This window comes from Homo sapiens, chromosome 10 (assembly GCF_000001405.40).
Source record: "Homo sapiens chromosome 10, GRCh38.p14 Primary Assembly".
Classification (NCBI taxonomy): domain Eukaryota; kingdom Metazoa; phylum Chordata; class Mammalia; order Primates; family Hominidae; genus Homo; species Homo sapiens.
Window position 1 is genome coordinate 87,371,800 of NC_000010.11, and position 24,629 is coordinate 87,396,428.

The 24,629-nt window shown below is 46.7% G+C and overlaps 2 pseudogenes, besides 2 other annotated features; one reads left to right on the plus strand and one right to left on the minus strand.

Moving 5' to 3' along the window:
- Positions 5,774-6,649, plus strand: NPAP1P3 (nuclear pore associated protein 1 pseudogene 3; annotated as a pseudogene).
- Positions 11,285-11,786: an enhancer, noted in NCBI's record as "H3K4me1 hESC enhancer chr10:89142841-89143342 (GRCh37/hg19 assembly coordinates)". NCBI's record gives its function as "activates a minimal SCP1, AML or CMV promoter by ChIP-STARR-seq in primed H9 embryonic stem cells {active_cell/tissue: H9 hESC(primed)}" and the evidence as "EXISTENCE:reporter gene assay evidence [ECO:0000049][PMID:30033119]".
- Positions 14,562-18,416, minus strand: CTSLP1 (cathepsin L pseudogene 1; annotated as a pseudogene).
- Positions 18,699-19,673: an enhancer, noted in NCBI's record as "H3K4me1 hESC enhancer chr10:89150255-89151229 (GRCh37/hg19 assembly coordinates)". NCBI's record gives its function as "activates a minimal SCP1, AML or CMV promoter by ChIP-STARR-seq in naive H9 embryonic stem cells {active_cell/tissue: H9 hESC(naive)}" and the evidence as "EXISTENCE:reporter gene assay evidence [ECO:0000049][PMID:30033119]".

A 24,629-nucleotide genomic window follows, 5' to 3' on the forward strand; every position in this document is an offset into this window, starting at 1 on the left:
AACTTTGCGGAAATCATTTATTAGTTCTTACAGGTTTTTGGTGGAATTTTTAGGGTTTTCTACATATAAAACCATATAATCTGTAAATAGAAATAATTTTACTTCTTCCTTTCCAACTGGAATGCCTTTTATATATCTTTTCCTTGTCTAATTGCTCTGGCCCAGTACTACGTTGAATAGAAGTGGCAAGAGTGGGCATCCTTGACTTTCTCCTGTACTTTGAGGAATAGCTTTGTCTTCCACTAGTAAACATAATGTTAGTTGTGGGCATTTCATGTAAGGCCTTTATTATGTGGTAGTATTTTCCTTTTATTCCTAGTTTGTTGAGTGTTTTTAATCATGAAATGGTGTTGAATTTTGTTGAATGCTTTGTCTGAATCATGTGGTTTCTGTCTTTCATTATATTAATGTGGTGTATGACTTGATTGATTTTTGTATCTTCACTCATCCTTGCATTCCAAGTATAAATCCAACTTGGTCATGATGTATAATCTTTTTTTTCTTTGAGATGGAGTCTCACTCTGTCACCCAGGCTGCAGTGCAGTGGCGCAATCTCGGCTCACTGCAACCTCTGCCTCCCAGGTTCAAGTGATTCTCCTGCCTCAGCCTCCTGAGTAACTGGGATTACAGGCACCTGCCACCAAGCCTGGCTAATTTTTGTATTTTTAGTAGAGACGGGGTTTTACCATCTTGGCTAGGCTGGTTTTGAATTCCTGACCTCGTGGCTCTGACATGGCAACTTTGCTGAGCAGTACAGGGTGTTCTTGTCCAGGAGTCCATGGACCTTCAGGCAATCTAGCAAAATTTGGAGTCTGTGATGGGCTTGGAAATTTCAGTGAAGATTTGGGAGTGTCCTAACCCCAGCTATTTAAGAGCCTCTGCTTTAGATGGTGTGAGGGACCCAACAACCACATTCTATATAGCTGTCCTGGGCATGCTTGGTCTTCCCAGCAATGAATTTTCTGTGGTGTGGTCTCAGAGCTCACTTCACTCCACCCTGAGACTCTTGTACAGTGAAGTGCAAGGATGTGGCCAGGCCAATTGTCAGCAGTCAGCTCCTGGCCTGCCTAACTCAATATAGAGCATGCGTCCACTGTGTGCTACTCTGCTGCCCAGAGTCATCAGGCTCATGAGCCAGATACAAATGCTGAGTCTGGGGCCTGCGTGCCCGAGAGGCCCTTTCCTGTCAGTTGGCCCAGGGAGCATCACACAGGGCACTCTTCTCCTCAGTCTCTCTCGCATCTCTCTGGCAGACAGGTGGTCATGATCGTCAGTGCTGTGGGGCCCTATTATTCCAGAGCAAATGCTGGAGCCAGACTTACCCTGTGGAAATGCACGAGGACGTGGGCTGTGGTGATGGGCACCCTCAGTCAGGCACCAGCTGTCCCGCGTTCCTGGCTTCCACCTCTGGGGCAGCTCCCCGACATTCTCTGAAGTCTGTCCACTTCGTTTTCTGTTACATTTGCCCTTGTCAGGGGGAGCAGTGGGCTTTGGCCTGTTTACCTAAGCCCTCATGTGTGTGCTGCAGCCTGGCTTGGGACACATTTGGTCTCCATGTGAAGACCGAGATTGCAACTTTCTGTGCTTGGAGCCCAAAAGGACAGGTGGGGCCTGAGGGAGGGATGCCCCCATCCCAGGACAAGGAACTTCCCCCAGGAGAGCTGCTCATGGCCCCCTGTAACTCCCAACTCCCATGGAGGGGCTGACAGGGGCTCCCTGCAAGCTGAGGCTCTGAGCACAGGGACACCTGGGGCCCCACATACCAGCCCCATGAGAAATAGGGCCAAAGAGCCTCATTCCCCCTGTGAGTGGCTGGTCACCCACACTTCAGGGCCTCATCCTGCGCTGATCTGCACCTGACATGCTGAGTCTTCCTTGGGCTTCATCCCCTGGAGTCGTCCCCTATTCCTGGCTCCCATGCTGGTGGCCCTGCCTTCTCCCCCAGGCACCCAAGGACTCTCCAGGCCATACCTCAGTGACAGCAGCTTTGCCATCCCACTGGCCTCAACCCCAGAAAAACTTCAAGAGAGCAAGGCCCAGGATTTTAAAAGGGCTAAGACTAATGTTACAGAAAATGGACTGTGAGATAAGGAATTTTCACAAGTATTCTCCAATTTATGCAGAGAATGAAACAGAAATTGTGGAATTCAAAGTTGCAAAAAACAACACTAAGAAATAGTGGTTTAAGCGGATGATGCTTTCATGGATTCAGGGAAATGACTGCTATCCACAGAGTGTGCAGAGGAAGTGCCTGGTCCTGGTGGGTAGCATGGCTGTGGCTCATCCAAGAGAATGAGACAGGGCTGGGCAAGCCTTATATGTGGAATTCACCAGAGTGAAGCTTGGCCAGTGATGCAAGGGAAGGACCACGATGCTGAAGGTGTTGACTACCAATTTTTGCCACCATCAACCCTGATTCAAAGCATTTGCTGAAGAACCAGAGCAGACTGACAGTGAGATTTTGGGCCCCTGGGCCAGTCATCCCTACAAAATGAAATATTTCTCTAAGAACAGGACAATGAGTCACCATTTTCCCAAACCACAGACCATATCTTAATAGAACAACTTTTTAAAAAGTTTTTATTTTATTTTAAAGTTCCAGGATACATGTGCAGAATGTACAGTTTCATTACATAGGTATACATGGGCCATGGTGGTTTGTTGCACCTATCAACCCATCTTCTAGGTTTTAAGCCCTGCCTGCATTAGGTATTTGTCCTAATGCTCTCCCTCCCCTTGACCCTGACCCCCTGACCCCCAACAGGCCCCGGTGTGTGATGTTCCCCTCCCTGTGTCTATGTCTTCTCATTGAATAGAACAACTTTTAAAAATGTGCAGCTGGAGCAGCCTTGAAGGGAATTGGTAAGCAGTGAGTGGAGAGTGATGTGTTTCAGGGAGGATTTGGACTGTCTGGCTTGCAGGTGACCCTCTTGTCCCACAGAGGCAGTCTGCCAGTAACTCATCAGGAAGCCCAGGTAGTCTTCCTCAGGCACTTCCATCATTCCTGGGATGGCAGAGATGAAAAGGGACTGGAAGAGATGGGGGCAGAGAACAGCCCTCACTGACAGCACAGAGCCTCACCTCTCCACACAGTCTCTGTCTCCTCTCCTCCTCTGCCCACACAGTGACTCCCAGCCGCTAAGATTCCTGCTTTCAGCAATGCCCGATAGCACACCAAATATCTGAGGAGTTCTCAAACACCAACTCTTCACTGCCCATTAGCACAATGAAGAAACTGAGGAAAATGTATATGTCCCTGAATGTTGCTAATGGTCTTAGGGCAAACTGCTACTTATTCTGCATTATGTATTTCTTAGTTAATTGGGGTTAGGATGTCATTTTTAATGAAATGATGTTAATAGTGTTTGTAAAATGAACGATGTGCAACCCCATGAAAAACTCTGTGCTTTTTGAAGGAGTAAAGGAAGCAAGGAGGTGTGATAAAAATTTTGATTGTTGAAGTGGCATGGGGGCAGGTTGAACTTGTCCAAGACTGCTTCCCTGCAGGCCAGCCTCCTTAAATGCTTCATGAATGCTCTCCATCGCTGGGCATAAGGTCATCAAGGCTGAGTTCTAGTAGAAGAGACATTCTAGAGGTCTAGAATGTCTTATACAAACACACTTAGAGACACCTGTTCTAGTAGTCCACCATTGCCTCCACTCCTTAGGTCTTGAAGCAAAATCATATTCATTCATTCTACAAGTATCTACTCAAGATGTGATATTTGTCAGGTGAGTGATGAGCACAATGGTTGATAGGCAGAGACAAACAATAATAAAAAAATGAGTAATAAAGGGTAATGAAGGCTGGGCGTGGTGGCTCATGCTTGTAATCCCGGCACTTTGGGAGGCGGAGGCAGGTGGATCACCTGAGGTCAGGAGTTCGGGACCAGTCTGGCCAACATGGTGAAACCCTGTCTTTACTAAACATACAAAAATTAGCCGGGTGTGGTGGCCTCTGCTGAACTCTCTTTTGTGTTTTAATGTAAGGTTAAGGAGCTCCTGGGCCTTTGGGGATTCTCAGCCAAACCAGGTCCCATCATCATGGCTTTCTCCCGTCTCTGCACGGGCGGACAGATAATCTGCTGCTGCACACAGGACACACAGAGCTCACCCCTGCTCACTCAGGCTCACCTCCTAGGATGCCTCCTAGGCAGGCAGAAGTTGAGGCTGGCTCGCCACACTCACATTCTGGGACCAGGGACCTGCACCTGCCCTTGCTACACTCAACTGTCTCTCGGGCTGTCACCACTGCCCTCAGAAGAGCTCACACTGCTGGGGAGCCCAACTGTTTCTCAGGCTCTTGCCAAGAGGTGGCAAGAGAGTTTCCCCTACTTACCTGCCCACTGGGAACAAAACTTTATTTACTTTTTATTGAGGTAAAACAGATTTAACAGAAACTACCATTTTCATCATTTTTGAGTACAGGGTTTATTGGCGTTAAGTTTATTCACATTGTTTTCTCACCATCACCGTCAATTCATCTCAAGAACTTTCTCATCATCCCAGTATCAGACTCTGAACCCATTAAACACACAGCTCACTGCTCCCCTTTTTCCAAGTCCCTTAATTTGAAGTGCAATGAGGAGACTATTTTTGAAATTAGAATGTTCACTTTTTGTTGACTTTCTCCATGAAAACCTTCCCTTGATTTAGTCAGAAGTCCCCACACCCTGGTTTCTGGGACAGATTCCTCCCAGGCCTCAGGAGACTGTGCCCCATCTGCTGATGATGCCATAATGGGACCCCAACAGGAAAACCAGGATATCTAATGTGCAAGGGCGGGGTTTTCAGGGGAGAGGAGGGGGGTTCCCGAGAATTCTGGTAGCATGTCTGGAACTAGAGCCTTGCGTGGGAAGTGCGGCATTTTTCTATCAGTGAAGCACTGATAGAAAAAATGGGGAGACACCTTCTGAGGGGGCATCACAGGCAGGGGAGAGGAGAGGCAGACAAGCACTGGCTGCACTTATACTCAGGCCACTGAGCAGCGGAAACAGTCCAGAGTGTGTGGTGCCACTTTCCCATTGGGATGTTGTGCCTTTTCTTACCAATTTTTGAGAACTTTTGGAATATTATGGATAATATTAAGGATAATAATCCCTTTCCCAGTTCCGGGCTGCTCCCTGTGGCCAGAGAAGGCAGCCTTGAAGGTGTTGGGTAAAGACCACCTGCCCAGCTCTCCAGGCTTGCTAATGCGGGGGAAGGAGATGCAGCCCAAGGATCCTGAAGCTCTTGCATCAAGTAGCTATACTCCACCCAGAGCTGCCGGCCACAGGTCCAGTGAAAGAAAACTGTCAGGACCACCACTGCTGCTGCCACCAACCCCTCCCCGGCAATAGAGGTGGAATAGAGATGACCTGCCCCCACCTGCTAAGCTTCCCTGCCTATCTCCTGAGGGATTCCTGGGCAACGTGGATAAGAAGGACACCAGTAGAACATCAGAATCCAGGAGACTAAAACAGCTGCTTGGGAAGATAAAGAAGACATGGCAGGGCAGGCATGGTGGCTCACACCCGTAATCCGAGCACTTTGGGAAGCTGAGGCGGGCAGATCACGAGGTCGAGAGATCGAGACCATCCTGGCCAACACGGTGAAACCCCGTCTTTACTGAAAATACAAAAATTAGCCGGGCATGGTGGCTCGTGCCTGTAGTCCCAGCTACTCAAGAGGCTGAGGCAGGACAATGGCTTGAACTCGGGAGGTGGAGGTTGCAGTGAGTGGAGATTGCACCACTGCACTCCAGCCTGGCGACAGAACGAGATTCCGCCTCAAAAAAGAAGACATGGCAAACTGCAGTGCCACCCAGCCTGCCCCTGCTGTCTCCACACCTGCTGAGACTCCCTGCCCGGGCCACCTACACTTCACAGATCCCAGCTCCTCCTCCTACCTCTGACTTGGCCCACATGGCTGCTGGGCCCCTCACCCTGCCTGTCCCTCCACCTTCGCCCACACCAAGAATTGAGTAAAAATTGATATCCATAATTCCTAACTCTCCCCGGGGTCTTCCTGCTGAACTTGCCCCCATTTTGGGGGTTCCACCTAATGAGAAAGGAGGCTGCCCTCATTCAGCTGCAGCTTCAGCACCTCTGACCTCTCAGCCCTGCCCCATACCTCCTAGCCCCGCATCTTTCTCCTTCCAGCTTCCCTTCAGAAGGGAGCCTCCTACACCCATATGTGTTTTCCTCTCCTCCTCTTTCCTCCCCAACTCCTCTTCCAGCACCTTCCACCGGGATCCCTGCTATCACTCATCAGCAGATGAATTCCACAGCAGCCATTTCCACCATCACAGCAAGGGCATCTGCCCACCTGACCTTGCAGCCTCCTTGAGCCCTCAGCTCTTTGCTATGGACATGACTTCCACTACTAACGCTGTGGTTTTCAAATCTTCACCAAGCTCCAGAGTGAGCACCCTCTTAATTTCCCAAATTCAGTGCACAATAGAGGCACCCTGGAAAGACATCGGCTTACGTCTGCCTGGCTACATTCATATTCTCCAGGCCCACCCCTCAGCCCACACTTGGGGCCCCCTGATGGGCAGCAATGAAAAGCCTCTGTCCCCAGTGCCCCTGTTTTTCCAAGCCTTCCCATCAGGGCTCCTCCAGGCAACTCCAGTTTATGGAGCAGCGTCTCTGCAACATCCTCCTCCAGAACAGATTGTGCGATGGGGAATGGCACCACAACTGCTGCAACTGAACACAATTAGGGTCCCCATTCAGAAAGAGCGCCCAAGGCCCACCTGGTACACACAGGTGGTATGATGAGGAACAAATAAGAAGCAAGTCTCCCTCCACATATGGTCCCCATGAATGGACATTGCTCCTGGAGGAAGGGGCTCAGTCCATTGAAGTTAAATTTAAGCTGCTCTCTCCTTATAAAAGCCAGAGGCCCCAAACCTCAAAGTGTGTGTGTGTGTGTGTGTGTGTGCGCGTGTGTGTGTTGGAGGAGGATGTGGGGCTGATGAGCCCAATCAGAACCACAGTGTATTTGAGGCACTCCCCTGTGGACAGAAGAAGAAGCCAGCATGTGTCATCATCATCTGTGCCCTCCCCGGCTTGACTGTTCATCTGGCTGACCAAAGCCCCCAGCCAGGTCTCTATTCTTTGAACTGGCAGGATGCCCGCTGCTATTTCCAGGTGCCCCTCTTCCCCTTGCCTGTTTACTTTGATGGGCTCTTCTCTGTCCTGATTGTAAATTAAAACCTTATTCTTGTTGCTCTGCCTCTGTTCATGTGTCTATATATTTTATAATATATATCTTACATATTTTAATTTTTAATTAAATATTATATATATTAATTATATGTAACCTTAAAACTAGATATAAAGAATGTAGGCATGTAGATACCTTGCAACCATAAAACCTAAAGAAACTTGCAGATCAACAAATGCAGAGACCTCATAAAATTCAAATGACAATATTAATATAATGGAACAAAGGCAGAACAGTCACTCCCCTCCGCTGTGAGGAAGTGGCGCCCCCTGTCCACATGCAGACTCTCCTGAGACCCGCCTGTTGGCGGTGTGCTTTGCAGTAATTGGCTGCTTCCACCACTTGTCCCTATGTAAGTTACACAGAGGCTTCCTTTGCACATCCTGTAATGAAGCCTTTTGGCCTTCACTTGGTGAGAACACAATATTTCATATTAACTCCCTGTGCATTCTTTTTTTTCTTTAATATTTCTCTATAACAAAGAAAATGTCATGCCCTGGCACCAAAGAAATGTTAAATAGATAAAAATATGGAAGCTCTCTGTTAAGTCGATCATCCAAATGAACCAAAATATGTTGATCTTGATCGGTCACTCCACATCTCCAGCAATATGACCCTGTAGGCACCTGATCTCCTCCATTAACATTTTATTTACAAAATCAGACTTCAGGCCAAAGCTGGCTATGGTTTGCTGACCCCTGTTCTAGTAGAAGAGACATTCAACAACTAATTACACAAATAACAACCACTAAGTGCTATCAAGTAAAAGTACCCAATGCTTAAAACCCTCTAAGAGTAGAGATTGAACCTATGCAGGTAGATCAGATTGCCCTGAGGGAGTGGGTCTTAGATTAAACGTAGTTAATTAGTCAGGTGAGGGCAAGACTACTCCAGATGGAGGAAACCACCTGGGGAAAGGGTTGGGGCAGAAGACAGCCTGGCAAACCCAGTTTGAAAGAGGCTTATGGAGCGGGAGCAGGAAGAGTGAGGGCCAGCGCCTGTGAGCTCAGGCTGAAAACAGCAGGGAGGCCAGCCCCTGTGAGGTCCTGTGGGTCTTGTGAGGGAATTAGGTCTCTATTTAAATACAGAGACTGCAGCACAAGACAAGATGGAGTTGGAAGCCTCCTCTGTTCACCTCCAGACCCACCTTCTGTATCCTCTTTGTGTTCATTTTGGTTCTAGGCTTGCCCAGTGTCTTTACAAGTTTTCCTCCATGCAATTCCAAAATCTTCCAACAAAACAAAAAGGAAAGGAAATTTTGTCTGCACCTAGGCTATCCTATAGTGGAGGACCTAGAGGACTGGAGAGAGCTGTGTTCCTGCTTCTCCTTTCCTCTCTGATGCCCCCTTATATGGAGTCTTAGCAAAGCTTTCTCTGTCCTCGATGTCAAAGGAGCCTTCAGAATATCACCTGGGCTCCTCCTCCTGTGTTACCATGCCTTCTGGGTCTCGCCCTGCCCGCCTCCGCACTCTGTCCTCACTGCCTCACTTCCACGCTCCCCTTGGGGACACTTGCACAGCTTGCTGCCCCGTGAATGCTCCATGTCCCCTTTTCAGTTCCACGTTGTTCCTCTGCTGGAAGAGCATGTGCCTCGCCCGGCCCCTTTGTCTGGACACCTTCTTTTCTTTAAGAATCCACCCAGGAATGGCTCCTGATGCTTCCAGGTCTGCAGGAAGCCATCCCCGGCCCCTTCCTCATCCAGCCTGAGCGCTGTGCTCCCCTGCAGTGTCCACACAGTTCCCGGTATGAAAGACTGACATCCCAAACTACTGTTCACGTCAGCCTCCTGCACCGCACCCTGAGCTTGTGAGCTCTATGACAGCAAAGGGCTTATGTGAAGGGCGTTTGGCACTTTCCACGTGAAGTTTAACCCATTTACCTTGTTAATTCCCATTTGTTCCCACCTCTTAGGTACCCGCATATTTCTATCCTTCAGATTTCCTAGCACTGGGCCTTATAGCAGCATTTCTTAAAATGGGGTCCCCAGTCCAACAGCATCAGCATCACATGGGAATTTGCTGGAAATGCAACTTCTGGAGTCCTCCTTGGACCCCTGGGATCTAAAACTCTGGGGTTAGGTGCAGCGATCTGTGCTTTCATAACCCCTCCAGCTGACACTGAGGCCGGCTAACGTTTGAGAACCACGGCCTCCCAGGAAGTCACTGCTCATGAAATTGTTGATTCCCTGAGGACAGTAACTGGTTATTTTCAATCTGAAAAAGAAAAAGAGTAACTGGAGGAAATGACAAAGAAAATTTTTACTTTAGAAAAAGAATTTTCCAACTTGATATTTCAAATACGTGACTTCCAAAGAAGGCCTAGCTTTGTACATTTAAAAACAAGGTTGATTCTGCCTGGCTCAGTCTACCCCACGTGTGGTTTTGCTGAAGGGCAGGTGTTTGGAAGAGATAACCTTACCAGGTGCCCTCCACTGCTCAGATTCTCTGCTTCTAGGATATTCTATGTAGCATAAAATAAATATAAGCTAGAGAGGAGGGCATGCTTGCTAGGGGAGTAAAAAGATGGTTTCTGTTTTGCAGGATGAAAGTATTCATGGATGGATGGTGGTGTTGGTTGCATAAAAATGTGAATGTATTTAATGCCACCAATCTGTGCAGTTCAAGATAGTTAAAATGATCAATTTTATGTTATTTATGTTTTACCACATTTTGAAAATAAAAATAAAAAGATAAAGCTGGCACCTAAAAATGTCCAGGTAACAATAAATCTGGCAGAGTGAAGTACAGGACTACCCATTGTATTTAGAGCAGCCCAGCAAAGCAGAGGCCCCTAGAGAAATGGGGGATAAGAAAAGTGAAAGATTGTTATTTCCAAAATAACCACCTACAAAGTACAAAGTGGTCTTCCTAATGGGAAGAAGTGATTGTTCCTTGGCTCATTTTCTTTTTTTTCCTTTTTTTTTTTTTTTTTTTTTTTTTTTTTTTTTAGTTTTCAGGGTTTTTGTTCAGTTTGAATTCATATGTGGGAGGATGTCATAGTGTTTGCAGGCCTTTGGATTCTTGAGAACTTAATCAGGCCAAGCTGTTCATGAGGAGTGGGGTGCTCAAATTCATTCTTCCAACAAGGGGCTGTTGGGTACCACTATGGTGCCAGCCCTGTGCTGGCCACAGGTATGAAATGCCCAGTGAGGGCCACATCCTGGCTCACCTACCAGGCCACGGGCTGAGCCCCACAGTTGCCTGAGAAATTTGCTTTCAGGGGTAATTTGTAGAGATTGTAGCTGAGCTTTGGGTGACAACCTGAGGTGCGGTCAGACTTTATCATCACAACCAAAAGTCACATGCTGATGAGAGGCTCCAAACAACACCTGGAGCCCATGACCCAGCAACTTCCAGATGTTGAGTTGGGACAGGGAACAGGCTTGTCTGCTCCAAATGAATGCCCTGACCAGAAAGAGTAAACCAGGGAGGCACTCTTGAAAGAGCGTGTTAAGGAGCAGTGAGCCCCCTTCCACCTCCACCAGGAAACGTCCCCAGGACAGACAGCTGCCGACCTCTTTCTGGAAGCGCTGGGCCTCAGAAGATTGCTGGTTCCTGCCTACTTGCTCCCAAGGCATATTCTTGATCAGAAAGGAGGGAAGAAGTGCGTAGGCATGGGGAGGAGGGGCAGGGAAGAAGTCACAGGAATGCCCACAGCAGAGGTCTGTGGAGATGCTGGGCTATCCCTGGTGGCAACACTCTTGGGGCTGGCGCTGGGTGAGGATGGCCTCCAAAGCACCCTATGCTGTGACTCCAGCCCCCGGGATCCTCCTCAGGGTACAGAGAAGGAGCTCAGGTGAGCTCTGGGTGGATGATACCGTCTTTTTCCATTGAAATCACAGAATTTTACAGCTAAAGAGAACTTCCAGATGATTTCAGTCAACCACACTCTTTTGGGGGCTGGAAGCAGAGATGAAAAGATTTAGACAAAATTACACAGTTCAATGATTAACAATTCAGACTAAGTGTCAGGCCATCTGACCACAACTGAGGCCCCCCGATACTACTCTACTAAGTGTATTATACTGTGGTGTGTATGTAGGTGTGTGTGCACATGTGTGTGAATGTGTGTCAGGACTACATGTATATACATGCGTATTGTGTGAGTATGTGTGTATTTGGGCATCTGTACATAAGTGTATGTGTATAGGTGTGTTGTGTGCATACATGCTCATATGTGTAATGAGTTAGTGTGCATGTACTTATGTGTGTATTGAGCATGTGTGTAATTCTATGTGTTTGTGGGTGCACATATATGTGTATTTGTGTGTGCTTAGTGAGCGCTTCGCTGGCCATAATGGCTTGTTTTTCTGGCCAAAAGACGTGATTCTCCCTGATTCAGCCGTGAGTGTGCATTTCCCAGGGTCAGGGTGACTAACCAGGACATCCGGAGAACTTTCTTCTTCTCTGCCCCACCCATCCTGCCTACTCCATTCTCGGGTGTCAGAGGCTGAGGCTCTGGCCCCAGTGTGAGCCCCACAGGAGGTCTTCAGAGCCCTCAGGTTGCCTCACAGCCAGCCTCCATGAGCATCTTTCTGTTTTCCAAGAGGGTGAGCCAGGGCTGCTCCTGTCAATGACAAGATGCTGGGACCTGGATTCACGTGCAAGGAGAAACCAGGCACTGGGGGCTGAGCGTCCAGCTGCTGCTGGGCTGGGAGTCAGCAACCTCTGTGCTTCCAGGGCTCACCCTCCCTGGCCATGGGCAGTGCCCCTTGGCTTTGCGGCAATTTGAGGCAATGAAAGTTTTTATTTCCTCTGGCTGTATTTTCTAGACATATTTTAACGTAGCTATAATCTTACAAAATGTTGAATTTTTTGTCCTGCTTTTAAAAAGATTTTAATTAGGTTAGATTATAACCAAGGCAGGTGGATCACCTGAGGTTGGGAGTTCAAGACCAGCCTGACCAACATGGAGAAACCCCATCTCTACTAAAAATACAAAATTAGCTGGGTATGGTGGCACATGCCTGTAATCCCAGTTACTCGGGAGGCTGAGGCAGGAGAATCGTTTGAACCCGGAAGGCAGAGGTTGCAATGAGCTGAGATCGTGCCATTGCACACCAGCCTGGGCAACAAGAGCCAAACCTCATCTCAAAAAAAGTAAATAAATAAATAAATAAAAATGACTAATAAATACTTACTGAAAGTATAAGTATAAAAAACTTTAATTATGTTAATTATGAGATTTTAAAACTGTATTACTGGAGAAAAGAGACCAAATCTCCTCATAATACTTTTTTTGTTTATTTAATAATAAAGATGAACATAAACACCTGTGCAATTCAGTGTTTAAAGTTTGCCAAGGTATATGTATATATTTTTCCCAACGTTGATGCTGTGAGAAGCCCAAGCCATGGAGAGGCCCCAGGCAGGTGCTCTGGTCAACAGCCCAAGCTAAATGCCCAGCCAACACCAGCATCTGCAACCAGCCCTGTGAGTGAGGGTTTGCAGATGTCTAGTCTCGTCAAGCCCTGCAGATGTCTAGTCCCATCAAGCCCTACAGATGTCTCCAGCACAGATAGAGCCTACAGATGTCTCCCCGTGAAACCACACAGCCAAGTCCAGGCGGAAAATGTGAAAGATGTTTCTACCAAGCCACTGAGTTTCTGGGTGGTTTGTTTTACAGTAATAGAGGAGAACCAGAACGGTCTGTTCCTGCACTCTCCAGTGGTCCCCTATGTTCAAACACTCCGCTTAGCAAGCTTCATCACCCAACACCTGGACCTAATCACTCTGCAGGGTCTCTCACTGCAGTCATTTCTCAGGGTTACTGACATGCTAGTCTCTGCTAAGATGCTCACCTCTTCACCTTCCCTTAGTGACTGGCTGCTCTGGTTGATATTGTCTTTCCCTTCCTCCCAGAAACCCTCCCTCATTACCTCCCTTTCCCTAACAGTTGCAGCTCCTTGAGGTCAGGGCCTGTCTCTTCCACCATGGTGATAACCTGCATATGTTGGCTGCTGCATAAATTCTAACTGTATCAAATCTAGGACCCAACCTGCACAGTTAAGGGATTTACCTTGGGAATCTTCCCAATCTTCTTGCTAACATGGGCTACTTTTATTATAAAATTTCACAGTTGCCATTTTTGTCATTTTATGTCAAAAAGATGGTTTTAGCAACAACTAGGGAAGGGCACGTAAGAGTCCAGCATGGCACATGATCCAGTTCAGATGAACTTAAATGGAGCCTGCTGGAGGCTTTGTGGGATGAGACCCCATTGTCCTCCTAGTTTTCTTCCTGAAAGATTATGGAGTCTATTCACTAAACACTTCTAACTATCTTTTATTTTTTTTTCAGTGGGAACATGAGACTTTTGAAAAAACACAGGTGATGAAACTATGTGCTCTTTTAGCCAATACAATGTGGGAAGTTTTTCTGTTGGTTAAAATAATTCAGGTGCTTACAGGTAGCTTGGTGTGAATGTGGCCACAGACTCTCAGTTTGGGTCCTCTTGTCTGTCTTCCACCTTCCAAGGCCAGCACACCATTCCTGAAGCCCAGCCTCACACCCTGGAGTTTATCCCTCATCCTTTGAGGACCCAAAGACAAACAGCCTTGCCAACGCACTAGTGCCTTCTCTCACCTCAACTGTAAAGTGGCCATGGGGTCTTCACCAGCAGCTGGGGAAGATGCTCCAGAAACTGGCCCTGATAGCTTTGCCCTGTAACTTGACTGGGTTGCAAACATTGTGGGTGAGATAAACATGATCTCTAAGGCTCTTTTTCAGTATTGAAATTACATGTATGTCTGATCACTTTAAAGAAAAATGTGAATTTTTTCTTTATTAAAACAATTTTCCTTTGTCCTTATAGATCGTTTGTCATATTTTGCTTCAATCAAGAGTTGTGTCAGACACAACCACTGGGCAGCTGACATGAGATCTGCACATTTGTTACTAGAAGAGCCAGAAGGCCACCCACTGTTCCTCCTAGTGAACCACTGGTAGAGCAGGTATGGCTTAGAGCCCAGTTTCATGCTTGACTACTGATATGGTTTGGCTGTGTTCCACCCAAATCTCATCTTGAATTTTAACTCCCACAATTCCCACATGTTGTGGGAGGAACCTGATGGGAGGTAATTGAATCATGGGGGCAGGTCTTTCCCATGCTGTTCTCATAATAGTGAATAAGTCTCACGAGAGCTGATGGTTTTATAAGGGGAAACCCCTTTCGCTTGACTCTCATTGTCTTCTCTTTTCTGCTGCCATGTGAGACATGCCTTTCACCTTCTGTCATGATTGTGAGGCCTCCCCAACCACGTGGAACTGTGAGTCCATTAAATCTCTTTCTTTTATAAATTGCCCAGTCTTGGGTATGTCTTTATCAGCAGCGTGAAAACAGACTAATACAACTACACAAAAAAGTCAGTGCTTCAAAACAGAAAGAAGCCCCACCAGTACATTTGAAATTACAGTTTATTTAAACAGGTAAAATTGTATATATCCTTTTAAAATGAAAATACAAAGTAAGTGAATCAATAATACAAACATGTTTATAGCAGTAATTAAAATACAGGTAACATTTACCAGTGTGAAAATATCAGAATTCCACTCACACTTGGATCTTCAATGATTGAAGTGTGCATTCAACACAGCAGGTGCTGGTAGATTGAAGATAAATTCCTCCTTTGGATGTGCCATCCTCAGTCAAGTTCTTCCTCATCACCATCCATCAGCTCACACAGTGGGGTAGCTGGCTGCTGTGGCAATTCCACAGTTGTTCCTCCGGTCTTTGGCCATCTTTATGTAGCCATCCATGCCCCAGTTTTTACCCCAGCTGAAAGGAGAGCAGGTTTTCCATTTCAGAGGAAGGATAAAGCACACTGGGTTATTAATTTGAACAGTGAGCCAGAAGCCACAGTGTGCCAGAAGCCACAGCCTTAACATAAAGAATCAGGAGATGCTGATGTTCCTGTTCATCCCTTGTAAATTCTTGAGTCAAAACCTGCATATCGCTTCAATCCCAGACCCAAAACTGTGACCTTTCACAGAACTGCAAAATCAGAAACAGAAAAAGGATAGGATGTCTTTCCAGCCGATCTACTTCAGAATTAAGAAAATGTTCAGAATTTAGACATGCAATGGGACAAATACCATATTAATATCCCCAGCATGCTTGTGACAGTATCTTGATGTTACAATCAATCATTAATATTCTGTGTTCTGCCTAAGGGGGAAAAAGACTTCTGGGATTTCAGAAATGTGATTAAGGGCTTGTGGTATGTAAATACTGATTGCAAAAAAGGATTCCCTTTTGAATTTCAACTATAAGTCTTTCTGGCAATTTATACCTGTTCTTCACCAGCCAATATTTATTGTTATCTGAGTCTGCTCCTTCATAGCTGTAGCCAACCACCAGCATAGCATGATCCAGGCCTTCAGGGTCACAGCGTGGCTCAAAATAAATTCCTGAGAGAATAAAATGAAGGCTGGGTGAGAAGTTCCCAAGGACACCTGACAGTAACCCACCCTGTCACCCACAGGGAGGGAGGCATCTCTAAAATCAGTGAAATGACACACAGTCCAGATCGGGCTTAACAAGATCTATTGTTATCAAGGCTAGGGAATTAGGCTCTCATCCACAACTAGCAGAAATAGAAATTAGCATAAGTCCCTCATAAAAAAACTTTCCTACAGGCATAAAAGACCACTCATTTTAAGCTTGTAATTCTACTCTAGAATATCAATCTTAAAAATAGCACAGAACACCAAAATCCTTGACTCAAAAGGCTCTTTTCAGATTTAATCACAGAAGTAAAAATCTTTGGAAAAATTATAAGAATACAACAATTAGACAATATTTAAGTAAATTAAACTATACTATAAATAACATAGCTATTTATAAAAAGTTATGAAGTACAGGTATTCATGGAGATACGCTCAATGTAATATCAAATAGAAGCATTGGGTATGATTATTGCGTGTATAGAGTCCATCATGCTGGTGTGTCATGGTGGTTTACTTTTTTTCTGCAATAATTTCTATGAAGAAAGATGCTTACCTTTTTTATAGAACTGGAAGAAGACATGGCTTGCACCAACAGCAACAGAGATGGGCCCCACAGTTGCCACTGCCTTCGCCAGGTCCTTCTCCCGTGAAGGGATGTCCACAAAACCAGTGTCATTAGCAGCAGAATACTTGGGATTGTACCTACAGGTTTTAACCTTTTAAAGGTGAAGAGGGAGGTGACTTGATTACTACCATCCTTCTCCTGGGGAATGTGAGTCAGAACCACAACACTCAGCAGTTTGCAGCATAGAATTTCCAAGTCAACACTGTTACAAATCATCCAAGGAAGTGAAATGTTATTATTAATAGTTAATTTGAAACTGAAAATTAGCTCAGTTCTCTTCAGTGAGACCCCCAGGTTTACTTTCCGTAAGACATTTTTCACAATGGAGACATCTGTATTATATGTAGAATGGTTTGTATATTCTCCATGTCACATAGAAGCAAGAACAGCTGCATGTTAACCATGTAATCACAGAACTGTGCAAAGGCTATAATTTATAATGACAACACTGTCACTTTGCAGATAGAGATTCCACCATCTAAAACGTGAATTCTGAAAAGTGTCTGTTATCTCTGAAAGTGTCCCAGTAAAACCAAGCAGGAATGGCAGCAAGAAAAGGAGCTCCATTTACCTTTCCTTCATATGGATAGGATGCCTCAGAGTCCAGGCCTCCGTTCTCCTGAACATACCGGAAGGGATTATCCATGAAGTCACCATTGCAGCCCTCATTGCCTTGAGGCCCAGAGCAGTCTACCAGATTCTGCTCATTCAGTGAGATAAGTTTGCCTGTTTTCCAGAACATCTGCCCTTCCAGAGCACCAGTTGCACTAAAAGCCCAACAAGAGCCACACTGACCCTGAAAAGAGAATAAAAAAGCTGATACACACACACACACACACACACACACACACAGCAAGACTTTTAACAACATGAGTATTTAGCTCATGTAGCTAAATACTCCTTTAAAAAGTGAACTGCATGTTGCTGCACAGTCTACCATAGCACAAATGTCAATTGCTTCTTGGCTTTCCTGGGGTGATGGGAGGTCTGAACCTAACACAGTCTCACCTGATCCTTCACAGGAGTCATGTAGCCTTTCTCTCTCCAGTCCACAGATGTGGGGATCTCAAGAAGCAGGCGTTCCTGGAACTGTTTCCCCTTCCTGTGCTTCTGGTATTGAAAACCATTCATCACCTGCCTGAATTCTTCATTGGTCTTCAAAGAAAAGTAAATAAAATGTTAAGAAGCAAGAGATTAATTTGGTAAAGAACTGAGGAGGGGAAGCACAGAGCTGGGCAGCCCACAGCATACTTACCATGTCTCCAAAGGCGTTCATGGCCATTGTGAAGCTGTGTTTCCCTTGGCTGTATTCCTGATTGTGCTGCTCAATCATCTTCACGTCCTTCTCTCACACTGCTCTCCTCCATCCTTCTCCATTCTAAAGGCAAACATGTAACTGAGGCTCTTCATTTCTTTTTTTTTTTTGAGACGGAGTCTCGCTCTGTCGCCCAGGCTGGAGTGCAGTGGCACGATCTCAGCTCACTGCAAGCTCTGCCTCCCGGGTTCATGCCATTCTCCTGCCTCAGTCTCCCGAGTAGCTGGAACTACAGGCGCCTGCCACCATGCTAACTTTTTGTATTTTTTTTTTAGTAGAGACAGGGTTTCACCGTGTTAGCCAGGATGGTCTCAATCTCCTGACTTTGTGATCTGCCTGCCTCGGCCTCCCAAAGTGCTGGTATTACAGGCGTGAGCCACCGTGCCCCGCCGATGCTATTTATTTCTAATTAAAACCCAACATATGCTAACCAAGTGAATCTTCAGACAGAGATGTAAGAGTAACCATGGCCAGGGAAGGCTTGACACTTCTAGGAGATGTTCTCCAAGCTAAGACACAACAAGGGTGTATGCCCATATCGTGCTCATAATCAGTGCTATTAAGTTATTGCATTAGGTTATTGGTAGGAGCCAGCCTCTAGAAGCCACTCTCTGGCCATATGATCCCAATAGCAATGCCCATCTCTCTGGGGTTCCCCTGGACAGTTTCAGATGCCACCAACCATGCCATATAATCTCTTGTGCTTTGCCTTCCACTTGGTCCATTGTGCGTCTAAACTGTGGTCACGTGTTAGAGCAGCTGAGGCAATTCCCAGGCAAAAGGCAGCCAGGAGGAGTGAAGGATTCATGTTTCAAAAATCTAGGAAGGGAAAAGAAATGAGGATCTGATTAGACCGATCCTAAAAAGCCATTTTACTACGCCCTGAGAAACTAGAGGCACCATGGTAGAAAAAAAATATTTAAATTATTCTTCCAAGCATTTACCTAAGGACTGTGGAAGAGGCCAAGGATGTGGCTGGAGAAAAACAGGGCAAGTGGAGGTATTGGATGGACCCACCAAAATGAAAAGCAGCCTGTCCAGAGCTGTAGGAGTTGAAACAGTTTTATGGGGTGATGATGACAGGCTATGAAAAGGACAGGAAGGTACCTGATGGGCGAGAAGCTTAAGGCAACAACCAGGAAACTAGGAAACCGTCGGCCCAGGTTTTGTCCCAATTGTGCTGAGGTCATCCAGGCAAAACCTCAAGAATGAAGACATCTAATTTCAAGAAGGGACAAAGGGATCCCCAATAATTGGGAAGTCACGTCACACCTTGTTCTTGGCTAATACACAGCAGAAGGTGAAGTATGTTTTCCAAATGCCCCTTGTAATGAAACAGTTCTTGAATGTCTTCCCAGGACAAACTGGGAAGGGGAGCACCTATCTACCGCCGTTCCCGCGGTCCTGCAGTCCTGCAGGTGGGCCAGTCCTGCCAACTCTCCAACTCCCCTCGCAGAGCATAAACTGAATCAGGTGGCCGAACCACCGGACGCCAGAGTCCCCAGTGTCCGCGCCCACACAGGCGTAGGCAGCTTCCCAGGCTTTGGGCTGGGGACCCAGGCCAGGTCCCCTGGCTCTTGCTCCCGCCCTCCGCTCATGCTCACTGTGGCCCCAGGACGTGGGCGATGTTGCAGGGAGCAAGGGGCGCCTCTGCCTGACTTGCCGGGGTCGAGCCTCCCTGTCCCACCCCACCAGCCCTGGGAATACTGCGGCCTGGCACTCCCGAAAATCCCTCACTCACAGAGCTGAAGGACTTGCTGGGTCCCTGGTGGCCCCTGTCCAATCTTAGCCCACTGGGGTCTCAGCTGCTGTAGCCACAGGTGGACAGGCACAGTGGGCAGGTGCTGGGTCCAGGAGTCTCCTGTCGCCTAAGGCCGCCCGAAAGCAGCTAACTGACCTCTAAAGCCCCTAGACCCCCCTGCCCCCTTGCCGCCCAGGCAGGCCCGCCCCCACCGCTTGCCCGCTCTGCGATTGGCTGCGCCAGCCGCTGGGCGGGGCCTTCCGGCGTGCTGACTCCTGGCATGTGGAGCAGCTCAGTCCCCTTGCCTCAGTGGAACCGGGGGAGGGGAGCTGGGGGCTACGAAGAGAAGGGTCGGAGGCCTCCCTGGAGGGTTCGGATCAACTAAGTACCCTATTTAATGCCCTGGGCAGGTGGTTTATGAAAAGAAATTTACGGGAGCCCTGTGTGCATTTTCAGCCTAACCCTGCTTTTCCCTTAGGCCTAGAATGTTTGATTAAAATCTCCTGCAGGGCAGAGAGCCAGAGGACTCTAATCCAGTGGTTCCTGTTTAGTCCACAGCAAAGGTGCGGCCGGTTGGAAGAACGCACAGCCTGCAAGCAGAAGCCTTATCTCCCAATTAAGGGTGTAGAAGAATCTGGGCGTGTTGCTGGTGGCTCATGCCTGTAATCCCAGCACTTTGGGAGGCTGAGGCAGGCAGATCACTTGAGCCCAGTAATTCGAGAACAGCGTGGGCACCCTGGCGAAACCCCTTCTCTACTGAAAATACAAAAATTAGCCGCGTGTGGTGGCCCGCGCCTGGGGTCCCAGCTAGTCGGGAGGCTGAGGCACCAGCATCGCCCAGCCCGGAAGGTTGAGGCTATAGTGAGCCGAGATCGCACCACTGCACTCCAGCCTGGGCGAGAGGAGACCCTGTCTCAAAAACAAAAAAACAGCAGACAAAAAAACAACTGGTAGGAAAACGCACCCTCAAAACACATGATGAGATGGTCGAGACTAGACCCTAGGAGGGTGGGGACTGGCTGGGTGGGTATCCAGAGACCATGGGCGTTTCATAATGCATTGTTTCCAGTCTCCTCCACTCAGCGACTCTTCTTCCCCTGAAGTCTTGCATTAAGTAAGTGAATGAATCAATCATCAAGTTAATGAAGCTCTGACTTTGTACTTGTCCTTTGCTTGGTACAGTTGGGCACTGCCTTAGAAACAATCTCCAGGTAATTTTCCCAACTGCTTTTGTGAGGCCCAGTTTTCCATTTTAAAATCTAAGATTACCTCAGTAATCTTGCTTTTACAGCAAATGGGCATGGAGCCTGACAGATATATTTAAACTAAGTTATGGACAAGCTGCCCGGTGCATTAGGTAGCATAGGAGCTAACCTTGTGGGACATCTCCCCATATTCGTAATATTCACCCCTACATCTATAATCAATAAATGCTTGTTTGGAGGCCATAGAAACTCTTACTGAGATCTGACCTGTGTCTTCTGCTATCTGCCTGATTTCTCCCCATAGAACAGGAAAACACCGTGTAGGAGATATTGTGAATAGAAATATGAATATAGGCCGGGCGTGGTGGCTCACACCAGTAATCCCAGCACTTTGGGAGGCCAAGGCGGGTGGATCACCTGAGGTCAGGAGTTTGAGACCAGCTTGGCCAACATGGCAAAACCCCGTCTCTACTAAAAATACAAAAATTAGCCACGCGTGGTGGCTGGCGCCTGTAATCCTAGCTACTCAGGAGGCTGAGGTAGGAGAATTGCTTGAACCCAGGGAGGCAGAAGTTGCAGTGAGTGAGTTGGCACCATTGCACTCCAGCCTGGGCAACAGAGTGAGACTCTGTCTCAAAAAAAAAAAAAAATTACAAAAATTAGCCAGGCATGGTGGTGGATGCCTGTAATCCCAGCTACTCAGGAGCCTGAGGCAGGGACAACGGCTCAAACCTGGGAGGCAGAGGTTGCAGTGAACCGAGATCGCACCACTGCGCTCCAGCCTGAGAGACATAGCGAGACTCCATCTCAAAAAAAAAAAAAAAAAAAAAAAGAATATAAATAGAAAATACAGTGATTCAAATAAGCAATTGTTAGTTCCTCAGATCAGAACTGTGAGTTCTATACTAGACTCTTACATGTTATTTCTTCTGGTGTCTTAGCAATGATTCTGAATAAAGATCAGACTCCTTAGTCAGCAGGTGGGACAGTTCTCAATAACAGAAGCTGGGTTCTCAGGGGATCCCGTGGATATGAGGATGAAGGTTAGAAGCACTTGGGACCATACCTGCAGGTCTGATTTGAGGACAATGAGACCAAGACAGGAAGGCAGCACCTGCTGAGGGGCTGGGGGTGGGAGAAGGGAGGAAACAGGACACAAGAAAATAAGTATAAACCACCAGACTGCAGTCAGTGATCAACAAAATTCCCAAGTTTATATTGAGAAGATTTCCCTGGTTTGGGGTTTTGAAGAGATTATATAAGGGACTCGGGTTGCTTGATTTTTCTCATTCTTTTTCTTTTAACTTGGTCTCAATTTTTTTGTAAAAAAAAAAAAAAAAGAATGTCTTATGTGCGCCTTTAGAACTGGTGAATGAATGAACCTCCCTTTTTAAATAACTGAGATTGTCACTGAAGCACTGTCATCCGATTTAGGCTTAAAAATCTGACACTGAATTTATCCTAGGTGATAAAGTGCAAGTCTCTTGTCTCCTAGAAATGATCAGGCAAGGAAACACCCAGGAGGCCCAGGGCAAAATGCCCTCCTGGAAGCTGGTGGGGTAGGAAGATGCTGAGGCCCAGTATGGTCCCTGGAGCATGCATTCTGTGTGGTGACAGAAATTGTTTGCTTGACCATACATTAGTCAGGCTTCTGAACCTTCTGATAAACGCATCTGTGCACTTTTTGTAAAATTCAGTTTTAGCAAATTACCCTGCTAAGTCAGTTTAGCTGGCAGGAATCCCCGTCCACCATATACTGATCAGGGTCCTCATCCCCCACCATCCCGCAGCTGATGTCAGATAACCTTGGCCTGTGCTCAGCGAGAATCTCGTTAGGTCAGTTTAGCCAGAATCCTCCCTTACCCTTGATGTTCCCTCGTAGTCATTTCCTATCTGCTAACCCCCATCCTCCTCCTTGACTATAATTCCCACTTCCTTGTGCTGGATTCAGAGTTGAGCACAATTGCTCTCTCCCACTGTAAGAACTACTTGCAGTGCTCCTAGACCTACATATGTGAACCTGTTTCTTTAACAGTGACTCACCTGTCTTTTTCTCCTTTCAACTTGATACTAGCTGAGGCTTATCCGCATCAAAGTGGAGGGACTGGCCCCGGGGGATCCTCAGGGCTTCACCTTGATGGCCTGCAGGCTCACATTCCACTTTTTCTGGTGCCTTCTGGCTCCCAGAGTCCAGTTTGCCAAACAAGTGATGGAGGTTGGAAGGAGGGATGAGGTGACAGAGGTGAAGGAGGGTAAATTCTTTTCTAAGCCCTACTTGCCTGACATGCATTTAGGTTTTTAGAAAGGAACGTGACCCCACCCTTTATTTTGTATCTCCCACTTCCATGACCAGCCTTACCTGTAAAAATGGGGCATAGAAGAGCCCCCATCTCCTAGGGCAGTGGTTTTGAGCAGGGGGTCACTGACCAGTAGCACCTTCATCTCTTGGGAACTTGTTAGGAAATTCTGGACTTGGGGTGGTAGATCATGCCTGTAATTCCAGCACTTTGGGAGGCCGAGGCTGGCAGAACACGAGGTCAAGAGATCAAGACCATCCTGGTCAACATGGTGAAACCCCGTCTCTACTAAAAATACAAAAATTAGCTGGGCATGGTGGTGTGCGCCTGTAGTCCCAGCTAATGGGGGGCCGAGGCAGGGGAATCACTTGAACCTGGGAGGCGGAGGTTGCAGTGAACCAAGATCATACCATTGCACTCCAACCTGGGTGACAGAGCAAGACTGTCTCAAAAAAAAAAAAATAATAATTCCTGGAAATGGATTAGCTTGCTGACAAGAGTTATTCCATTGTGTGTTTCTACCTGCAATACCTGAGGATGCCCATTTTCTCACGATTTATAAACTAACTCATTTTATAGACGTAATTTTCATACATTTGGGGGTATCATTCTAACTTCATTATTATTACTTCAAGGTGTTATTATCTCCCCGTCATCATCATGGTCATTATCATAACTAGTTGGTGCTGACAGTAGTCACCCTGCATTGAGAACTCATGCTCCAGGCCCTTTCCACATAGACTTGATTTAATTCCATTCACTCCTCACAACAATCGTCTGAAAGAAAGACTCACTAAGCCATTGTATAATTGAAACACAAGAGGTGAGTGACTTGTGTGCCCTTGGGCAGGTAATTTAAACACTCTGTGCCCCCAAGTTCCAATAGATAAATGTAAATAATAATATCTTTCTTACCTAATACATGGGGTCAACAGTTAAAGTACTGTACATTTGTGAGGTATTTCATGGCACCTGTGAATTGCTCATGTGATGACATAGTGTGCTTCCAGTGTCAGTGTGCTGGGAAGGAGACAGAATAGGAAGAAGACTGAAAAGATGCCGAGTCTAGTGCAGGGTATCCTGGGGAAAACACCTCCTGTTTGTCCAAGAGCGATTGGCCACACATTGAAGACACACTACCTGCCTGTGAACTGGGGTGGCCCTGTTGAAATCTTGTGGAAAGCTTGAGATGCTCCTTAGAGGGTGTTTATCCCTCGAGCTGGCACAAATGCAGTTTGTTGTTCAGTTTTTCCTTCTACTCTGCCTCTATCTGGTACAAAATGGAATTGAAGAGTATATAAACCAGCAAGGAACAATCTGAAATCAGAATGGTGACAATGGAAGAAAGTAATCTTGGTTCAACCCAATGTTCACCTGAAGTCTCTTTATTAAAGACTACTAACAGGAACAAAATTGCATAATAATCTTCCTATGATAATTTCAAGTTCCAGAATTTCTCTACGGAACTTTCAAATTTCACCTCTGTTAACTCATGGAATTTTCCCTAGAATCTGCAAATTACCGAAGTCTTTGGAGGTTTGATGATCACTCACTGGTCAGCGGTACTATAAAAGGATTCTGGGGAGTTTGACTCAGTGGTCAGCAAAGGCTCTTCCGAATCTTCAGTCTGATTCTGAGATTCCCCGGGGAGAACTGGAGGCTTTCTTAACAGCTCTTGATTGGAAAGACCACCTGCTTCATCCTCTATTGCAACAGAAATAGCCATTGTGAAGCTCCATGGGGAGGCACAATGAGTTTTTCCTAGCATGTGTGACTCAGGTCATTTTGTT